At 52.4% G+C, this 8,960-nt stretch overlaps 1 protein-coding gene across 9 annotated transcripts, besides 6 other annotated features; it reads right to left on the bottom strand.

Annotated features, from left to right (window-relative positions):
- Nucleotides 1–1,743: 1,743 nt before the first annotated feature.
- Nucleotides 1,744–8,806, bottom strand: BTBD19 (BTB domain containing 19). 9 transcript variants are annotated; one of them, XM_017000448.2, is made up of 9 exons: nucleotides 8,423–8,806; nucleotides 6,903–7,116; nucleotides 6,722–6,775; nucleotides 5,231–5,290; nucleotides 4,839–4,871; nucleotides 4,265–4,333; nucleotides 4,060–4,191; nucleotides 3,789–3,955; nucleotides 1,744–3,691 (listed from the first exon to the last, which is right to left on the bottom strand). In XM_017000448.2, the coding sequence occupies exons 1-9, from the start codon at nucleotides 8,506–8,508 to the stop codon at nucleotides 3,322–3,324; spliced, it is 1,185 nt and encodes a 394-aa protein (XP_016855937.1). In that variant the 5' UTR covers nucleotides 8,509–8,806; the 3' UTR covers nucleotides 1,744–3,321. The 9 variants fall into 9 exon arrangements, with proteins under 9 accessions (XP_016855937.1, XP_006710449.1, NP_001130009.1 ...); XM_006710386.4 differs by lacking the exon at nucleotides 4,839–4,871; NM_001136537.3 differs by lacking the exon at nucleotides 4,839–4,871 and having other exon boundaries at nucleotides 3,830–3,955.
- Nucleotides 3,341–3,410: a silencer, noted in NCBI's record as "silent region_821". NCBI's record gives its function as "represses an Ori minimal core promoter by ATAC-STARR-seq in GM12878 lymphoblastoid cells {active_cell/tissue: GM12878}" and the evidence as "EXISTENCE:reporter gene assay evidence [ECO:0000049][PMID:35858748]".
- Nucleotides 7,052–7,141: an enhancer, noted in NCBI's record as "active region_953". NCBI's record gives its function as "activates an Ori minimal core promoter by ATAC-STARR-seq in GM12878 lymphoblastoid cells {active_cell/tissue: GM12878}" and the evidence as "EXISTENCE:reporter gene assay evidence [ECO:0000049][PMID:35858748]".
- Nucleotides 7,652–8,261: an enhancer, noted in NCBI's record as "active region_952". NCBI's record gives its function as "activates an Ori minimal core promoter by ATAC-STARR-seq in GM12878 lymphoblastoid cells {active_cell/tissue: GM12878}" and the evidence as "EXISTENCE:reporter gene assay evidence [ECO:0000049][PMID:35858748]".
- Nucleotides 7,652–8,957: a biological region, named in NCBI's record as "H3K27ac-H3K4me1 hESC enhancer GRCh37_chr1:45274044-45274893".
- Nucleotides 8,108–8,957: an enhancer, noted in NCBI's record as "H3K27ac-H3K4me1 hESC enhancer chr1:45274044-45274893 (GRCh37/hg19 assembly coordinates)". NCBI's record gives its function as "activates a minimal SCP1, AML or CMV promoter by ChIP-STARR-seq in primed H9 embryonic stem cells {active_cell/tissue: H9 hESC(primed)}" and the evidence as "EXISTENCE:reporter gene assay evidence [ECO:0000049][PMID:30033119]".
- Nucleotides 8,542–8,911: an enhancer, noted in NCBI's record as "active region_951". NCBI's record gives its function as "activates an Ori minimal core promoter by ATAC-STARR-seq in GM12878 lymphoblastoid cells {active_cell/tissue: GM12878}" and the evidence as "EXISTENCE:reporter gene assay evidence [ECO:0000049][PMID:35858748]".

Raw genomic sequence — 8,960 nt, 5'->3', positions numbered from 1 at the left:
ATAGGTTCCATTATCTCCATTTTATAAATAAGGAAGCTGAGGCAAAGAAAGGTTAATCACAAAGAAAATATGTGGCGGAGCTGGGATTCAAATGCAAGCATTCTGGCTCCAGGAGACACGCTCTTAATCACTATGCTACCTTTTTTCTTTTAACAAGAGGAATCATGCTGTAATTGGTCTATTCTGTGCTTTTTTCACCAAAGATCATGGATTTTTTAAATATTACAGGAATATACCATAGTTAATATAACCAGTCCTCTGGTAATGGACGTATAGATGATTTTCAATTTCCACTATCCAATCAATGCTGCCATGTACTACTGAGTAAGCACATTTTCTGTCGAGAGATAATGCTAAATAACTATCTTTAATCCCTGTGCAATATATATACACACACATCTATGTGTATATATAATATACACACACATCTATGTGTATATATAATATACACACACATCTATGTGTATATATAATATACACACACATCTATGTGTATATATAATATACACACACATCTATGTGTATATATAATATACACACACATCTATGTGTATATATAATATACACACACATCTATGTGTATATATAATATACACACACATCTATGTGTATATATAATATACACACACATCTATGTGTATATATAATATACACACACATCTATGTGTATATATAATATACACACACATCTATGTGTATATATAATATACACACACATCTATGTGTATATATATACACACACATCTATGTGTATATATAATATATACACACATCTATGTGTATATATAATATACACACATCTATGTGTATATATAATATACTCACATCTATGTGTATATATAATATACACACACATCTATGTGTATATATAATATACACACACATCTATGTGTATATATAATATACACACACATCTATGTGTATATATAATATACACACACATCTATGTGTGTGTGTGTGTGTGTGTGTGTATATATATATATACATATATATATATATATTTTTTTTTTTTTTTTTGAGACAGAGTCTCACTCTGTTGCCTAGGCTGAGTGCAGTAGCACAATCTCAGCTCACTGCAACCTCCGCCTCCCAGATTCAAGCAATTCTCGTGCCTCAGCCTCCCAAGTAGCTGGGATTACGGGCATGTGCCACCACACCTGGCTAGTTTTTTGTATTTTAGAGACAGGGTTTTGCCATGTTGCCCAGGCTGATCCCGAACTCCTGAGCTCAGGCGAACCACCCACCTCGGCCTCGCAAAGTTCTAGGATTACAGGCGTGAGCCACGGTGCCTGGCCTCCTGTACAATATATTTTTGTATGAAGTCCCTGAGATAGAAATCTAACTTTATTTTCTTCTAAATAGTCAACTGTCTCTCATTTTAGATTGACAGTATCTTGCTTTGCAGCTCCTTTAAAACTCTTCATGGAATAAAGTGGCATTTAAATGAGGAAATAGGCTGGGTGTGGTGGTGCTTCATGCCTGTAATCCCAGCACTTTGGGAGGACGGAGTGGGACCATTGCTTGAGCCCAGGAGTTTGAGAACAGCCCGGGCAACGTAGGGAGACCTCATCTCTACAAAAAGAAAAAAAAAAGTTAGCCGAATGTGATGGAACATGCCTGTAGTCCCAGCTATTCAGCAGGCTGAAGTGGGAAGATCACTTGAGCCTGGGAGGCTGAGGCTGCAGTGAGCCGAGATTGCACCACTGCACTCCAGCCTGGGTGAGAATAAGGTTGTGTCATAAATAAATAAATAAAGTCATTTACTTAACATTTACATAGCACTGATTATCTGACAGAGACTGAGGAAGCAGAAACGAGTAAGACACCACTCCAGGCCCCAGGGATCTTTCTTGAGGGAGATTCACATCCTCGGGAAAACAAGATGTATAGTGAATGAAGGAGGTAGCAGAGGGGTCTGCAGTAACTGAGTAAGGTATGGAGCTAGAGGACTAATACCTCCAGGATAAATGAATTTATACAAAGATTGTATTTGAGAGAAGAGGTGAGGAACCACTCACTAGTAGTTTTGAGTGCCCTGAAAGTGAAATAGATTGAATTTTGTCCTGGAGGTCAATGGGATGTTCCAGGACTTAAGCCCCATAGGACTGACAATCAAAAACAGGTCTGGCTGCACTGTGGGAAATGGATTGAGGGGGCGCTGGAGTGAAGGCAGGAAGGCTGTGAGACGTGTCAGACAGGACAGGTTGAACCTGGGGCTGAGAGAACTGAACCAACTGGAAAGGTCTCTTAAGGTCTCTTACAAGGTAAAAAGAGACCTAAGGCAGGTGTGAAGAGCGATAAGGCAAGGATGAGATCCAGGTTTCTGGCGTGGGTGTCCACGGAAATGAGAAACACGATGGGGGCAGAGCTGGGGAAAAGCTGGGGAGATCAATTTCTCGCCGAGCCTGTGGTGTCTGAGGGGCATTCAGGGAGCGATCTCCAGGGGGGCAGGTCTGGAATGAAAGAAGGAGCTGAGGCCGGGCATGGTGGCGCACACCTGTAATCCCAGCACTTTGGGAGGCCGAGGCTGGCGGATCACATGAAGTCAGGAGTTCGAGACCAACCTGGCCAACATGGTGAAACCCCCGTCTCTACTAAAAATACAACAATTAGCCGGGCGTTGTGGTGCATGTCTGTAATCCCAGCTACTCAGGAGGCTGAGGCACGAGAATCGCTTGAACCCGGGAGGCGGAGTTTGAAGTGAGCCGAAATCGCACCACTACACTCCAGCCTCGACGACAGAGCAAGACTCTGTCTCAAAAAAAAAAAAAAAAAGGCCGAGGCGGGCGGATCACAAGGTCAGGAGATCGAGACCATCCTGGCTAATACGGTGAAACTCCGTCTCTACTAAAAATTCAAAAAAATTAGCCGGGCGTGGTGATGGGCGCCTGTAGTACCAGCTACTCCGGAGGCTGAGGCAGGAGAACGGCGTGAACCCGGGAGGCGGAGCTTGCAGTGAGCCGAGATGGCACCACTGCCCTCCGGCCTGGGCGAGAGTGCGAGACTCCGTCTCAAAAAAAAGAGAGAGGAGAGAAAGAAAGAAAGAAAGAAAGAGATAGAGAAAGAGAAAGAAAGAAGGAAGGAAGGAAGGAAGGAAGGAAAGAGAAAGAAAGAAAAAGAAAGAAAGAAAGAAAGAAAGAAAGAAAGAAAGAAAGAAAGAAAGAAAGAAAGAAAGAAAGAGAAAGAAAAAGAAAAGAAAGAGGGAGCTGAGCTGAACAGATAGATATGTGGGAGTCATCAGAATAGACTAGTAGACGACAATGCCCAGGGGCAGGGCGTAGAGTCAGGGTGTGGAACGAAGGAAATCCTCGTTTTCGAGTTTCACCCCCTCAGGGAGGCCCAGCCCAAGCCCTGCCCGGCCCGACCCCACCTCGCCCACACGGGCTTGATCCCGCACAAGGGGCTGCGCGTGGCAGACAACGGTTCTTCCGGCGCCCGGCTCACTGGGCACGCTGGGAACGGAAGCCCGCTCCGAACGCCGAGCACTTCGGGAGCTGTAGTTTGGGGCAGGCTCAGCTGGGCGGGTCGAGGGCTCCCTGCGAGTCCCGGCGTTGGATCATTTGAAGGACAGGTCCAGAAAGCGGTGATGCTCCCGGGGCAGGGTGCCTCTCCGGCGGCGACACGGGGCGCCCCGGGCCTCATCCCCTCTCCGCAGGGCATGGCATTTCCACGCCTCCACAATCTGCTCCACCTGCAGAGCAAGGCCAGTTAGTGCGCAGTCCCGCGGTGGCCCCTCGCCCCGAGGACCGTGGGCCGGGCTGCTCCTGCCCCCTCCCAGCGCCCTGTACCCCCTGCTGAGTGGAGCTGGGCCGGTTCCCCGCGTCCCCACCGGGATGAGTGGTTCCTGCCGGTTCTGCTCTTCCAGGGCGCTCAGCTCCGCCGGGGCCAGCAAGGCTAGTCTCAGCTCTTTCACCACCGGGGCCGCCACCTCAGCCACCGGCCGCTCCAGCACCGCCTGCAAACGCCAGCCCTGAGTCGGGCACCTGTCCTGCCGCCCGCTCACCAGTCTCGTGGCCAGCACCTCCTTCCGTGCCCTTGCGCTCCCCCAGCCCCACTCACCGCGCCCACGCGCGCCCAGCTTCGGGCCGCGCGGACCAGTTCAGCCTCGTCCACGCAGAGCTTGTCGCTGCGGAGCAGGGGCAGCAGCGCGGCCGCCGACAGCTCCAGGAAGCCTCGGGTCCGGAGGGCCTCCTGCGAGCCGGCAAATGGGTCAGGGAGGAGCAGAATGCGGTGCGTAGGGTGAGGAGTATGAAGGGAGCAGTACCTGGCTGTGGGCCTCTATGAAAGCCACGCAGCGCTCCTGCAGCTGCCCCAGGCCAAAGGTTACGGCCACCTGCGAGCAGAATGAGGGAGATCAGGTTGGAGACTGGAGAGGCCGTAGCCCAGCCTGCTCACTGGGACCCACCACTGCAAGCCTGACCCTAGCCCTAGCTGGGGAGGCTGACAGGGCCCTCAGCCCTCCAGGAAACTAGACCCAATGAAAGCCTGCTACACACACACACACACACACACACACACACACACACACACACACACACACACGTGGACTCACTCTACAACCTGCTCTTCCCTACAGGAGACCACGCCATGGCCTTCAAACCCCACCTGGGACCTAGGCTTGATTTTTTTTGAGGCAGAGTCTCACTCTGTTGCCCAGGCTGGAGTGTGCAGTGGCGCAATCTCGGCTCACTGCAACCTCTGCCTCCCGGGTTCAAGCGATTCTCCTGCCTCAGCCTCCAGAGTAGCTGGGAGCATGCCACCACACCAGGCTAATTTTCTGTATTTTTAATAGAGACAGGGTTTCACCGTGTTAGCCAGGATGGTCTCGATCTCCTGACCTCTTGATCCGCCCGCCTCGGCCTCCAAAAGTGCTGAAATTACAGGTGTGAGCCGTTGTGCCTGACCCAGCTTGACTTCTAAAGTCTACAGCCACCCTTTCCCTACCCCAAGTCAAGCTGAGAACCATTCCCCAGCCCTGACAGACAGAAGACCAGCAAAGACCTCCAGCCCCTTCAACACCTGCTCCTGCACCTGACCCTGCTGATACACCCAGGATCCCACAGATCTAGGCACAGAATTCATCCTATAAACATCCTTGGAGCACCCCCACCACCACCATGTACCCAAGTTATTTCCAGGCCAGACACAGCAGGCCCAGGCTCCCAGGTGCTGGGAGCCCATTTCCACACACAGAGCCAGACTCCTACCATGCCTGTCCAGCAGCACCCACCTGCAGGGCCTCACAAACCAAGTCCACATCCAGCACCTTCACCACAAACTGCAGGCACAGCTGGGAACAGAAATGAATGTGGGTTGGGTGGCGGTGTCCCTGCTCCAAGACACTAGTTCCACCCCAGAAGCAGTGAGCAGGCTTGGAGCGGTGAGTCACCCAGCAGCCCCAGACCCATCCTGACCCAGGCCAGGGGAGGCAGGGAATTGCTAGAGCCTGAGACAGCAGGCTTACAGGAACTGGAGACTAGCAAAACCAAGCCCAGCCACCCACCTTCTAGTACATTCGCCACTAATCAAAACCAGATAAAGGCCATGCAAAATTCTCCCCTTCTTTCAGGATGCTTATCTTCCTCCACTTGTTCCCTTCCTGACTCAAGGATACTTCTATTTTTAGCAGAAACTTGAATTTCATCCGTGACATCTCTCATCTCTTGACTGCTGCACTAGCCTCCTGACTGGACTAGCGAGTCCTCTCCACCTCTTCCAATCCCTTCTCCCCTGAGTTTCCAATTCTTCACTCCCTTATCGGAAACCTTCAGTGAATCTCCACTGCCCTCTGCTTAAAAGAAGTCCAAAAGCTTGAGGGCCCTACATGAACCAGGCCCTGGCGTCCTCTGCAGTCTCGTCTTGCCCTCTCCTCACAGTTCAGACACACCAAATGTCTCACTAGCTCCTTTGGTGCCTCTGTGACTAGAATACCATCTTCCCACTTCCCCTAGGAACAAAATCCTATTTGTTCTACCAGATCGAACACAAATGTTTCCTCCTCTGGGAAGTCTTCTCCTCTCCCTAGTGGCGGGACTGGAGAGTCCCCCCATACAGTCTCGGCACCATTCACGCTTCTCTATCACACTTTCTTTTTTTTTTTTTTTTTTTGAGGGCAAGTCTTGCTCTGTCACCCAGGCTGGAATGCAGTGGCACGATTTCAGCTCACTGCAACCTCTGCCTCCCAGGTTCAAGCGATTCTTGTGCCTCAGCCTCTCAAGTAGCTGCAATTAACAGGTGTGTGCCACCATGCCTGGCTAATTTTTGTGCTTTTAGTAGAGATGGGGTGTCACCATGTTGCCCAGGCTGGTCTGGAACTTCTGGGCTCAAGTGATCCACCTGCTTCAGCTTCCCAAAGTGCTGGGATTACAGGCGTGAGCCACTGCGCCCGGCCTCTATCACACTTCTTATGCCACCCAGGTAAGCATTTTCATGTGTCTGTCTCCTCTCCCTCTCTGGAGAACACGGATCAAGGCTGATATCTTTGTATCTACAGCACCAGCCATAATCACCCCCTCTTCCCACAGCACACACAGGGCAGGCATGCATGGATCCTTTTGCACACAGGCACACATACATGCCCTACTTACTTGGGAGAGATATACATACTTCTCTCTGTGTGGGCACACGTTCCTCTCCAGGCCAGAGTGTGTGTGAGGCAGGGCGGGAAGTGAGCCCGTGAGAAGCAAGGGAAATGAGACAGGGACCTGGCACAAAAACCCACCTCTCTCAGTTCCTCCAGCCCATACTCCACAGCCGCTGTCAGCACTTCCAGCACCTGTAGAGTGGGTGGTTGGGGGAGTGGAAGGGAGTTTCCCCTGCCCTGTGCCCACAGTGTAATGGGCAAACTCCTGCCTCTGGCACCCCCCACCTCTCCCACCCAGGCCCCTGGTCAGCAGGCTCACAGAGTGGCGGTACAGCTTGACACTGTTGGTATATAGGAACTCCAGCACTGCCAGGAAGGCCTCAGTTGGCACAGTGCTTAGCACCACAGGACTGGGCACCCCGGGGCCTGGCTCTGTGCCCAGAAGTCGCTGGAAGAAGTTGCATCTACAGGCCAACAAGCACCGATGGGCAAATACCTCCTGCCGTTCTTGACCAACCACGAAGCAAACATCACTGTGGGAGACAGGCAGAGAGGCAGCGGGGAGGAGGCCAGCACCCGGAGTGCAACTTGGGCTGTGCCTTTGCCCACTCTGGGTCTTAGTTTCCTAACCAGAATGTAAGAGACAGGGCTTCGTCCCTCCAGCAGAAGGTCTGGGACCCAAAGCCCTGAGTTCTAGTCCCAGCTCCACCTAATGGGTACCATAGGCAAGTGACTTCCTATCTTTGAATCTCAGGTTTCTCACCCATGAAATGGGACAATAATCCTAAACCTCAGGTCTCAGAGGAGATGACTATGCTTGATTACTGAGGGGCATCTGGGCTAATAGAAGCAAGGTTGATCCCACCTTCCCCTCTCCTCCCCAGCCTGAGTCTTGGGGGCAGGGAAGCTTCTTTTGGCTCCTCCTCCACCAGCTGCAAACTCAGCTTTTTTTCAGCCCTCCTCCAGACAGGAGGGTGTGGGGGTGTGGGGCACAGAGTGCACAACGACTGCAAACAGACACAGCAGTGATGCACCATCATGAGCCAGACCACAGTTTCCATCTTCATGATCACTTCCGGCCCCAGCTCTGGGCCTCTGAACAAGGCAGGGGATAGGAGGCAGATGAGGCTGGAGCCTCCTAGAGCCTCTTAGTCCCAGGTCCAAAGCCTGGGGGGTTCACATTACCCAGACCAGACTGTGACCCCAAAGAAGCAGGGTGATGGAAGTCACCACCCTTTGGGGAAGAGCTCAGATCTGAGACCATGAGGACAGAGAACTTCATTCTAGCTCTCCTGAGCAGCCCGGCCTCCTGTAAACTCTACCCCTGGTTTCAGACACCACTGGCATCCCGGCCAGCAGGGAGCAGCCAGCACCCCCGAGGCTTCCTGTCAGGGACTATGGCTCAATCTCTGGAGCTTTGTTCTTCTTGTGAAGCCTCAGTTCCCAGAACAGGTCATCTGTTCCTCTTCTTCTAGCAGTGAGGCCTCAATACCAAGCTGAGTGAGTGGAGGGAGGAGGGGAATCATGACCCACCATCTCTAAGGATCCCAGGGGCTGAGAATCATTTTCTTCTGCCAGGGGCCAAAGTCCAAAGAAGGAAGGGCTTTGCCTGAGCTCACACAGCAGCTCCACCCCGCCAGCCTTGCCTCTGGCCCTCAGGGTCTCACAGACACTGAGTGACCAGTAGCCATGTTCCACATTTGACCTCCCCATAGCCTAAGTTCACCAGGGAGGATGGCCAAGTTCTAATTCCCAGCCTCTTCTCACCAGGGCCTCCTTAGAGTCCTGGGGCCCACAGAGCCAGCTAAGAAAAACCCGCAGGCAGGGCCCACCCCTCACCTGTATCGCGGGTTGTTGACAAGGCTTCGGAGTGCTGCGGAAAAAGGTTCAGCTTTCCCATGCACGACCAGTCCCAAGGGCTCCATGAGTGAGAAGGGGTTGGGGTGGAGGAGGGAGCCTGGGAGGCCTGGCCAGGCCCTAGAGCTGGTGAGGTTAGCAAGGCCTGAGAGGGAGAAGCAGGGACTTGGGAGGCCTGTTTGCTGAGAAGCTGAAGTTTAGGAGTGGAGCAGGAGAGGCCCAAGCTCCTGAAGGCATCAGAGGCCAGAGGCTCGGGGACAGGAACAGACACAGGGAGGGGGCCAGGAGAAGCTGAGGCTGGAGTGGCCTATGGTCCTGGGAAGAAGCTGGCTGGCTGGCGGCGGCGGCGGCGGCGAAAGAGGCCCTGGCTGGGAGTCTGCCCAGGCAGCCGACGGGGTGGGAAGCCTGTGGGTTTCCATGGAAACTGGAGCTGGCCTGAGAAGAGACTCCACCCATCTCCCGGGCAGGCCCAGGGAAAACTTCAGCCCTTAGAGGGGCATTAAGCGCCATACGAGGGTCT

Source organism: Homo sapiens, chromosome 1, assembly GCF_000001405.40.
Source record: "Homo sapiens chromosome 1, GRCh38.p14 Primary Assembly".
Lineage (NCBI taxonomy): Eukaryota > Metazoa > Chordata > Mammalia > Primates > Hominidae > Homo > Homo sapiens.
Note: the sequence above shows the minus strand (reverse complement) of the source record. Positions and strands in the feature narration are given on the sequence as shown.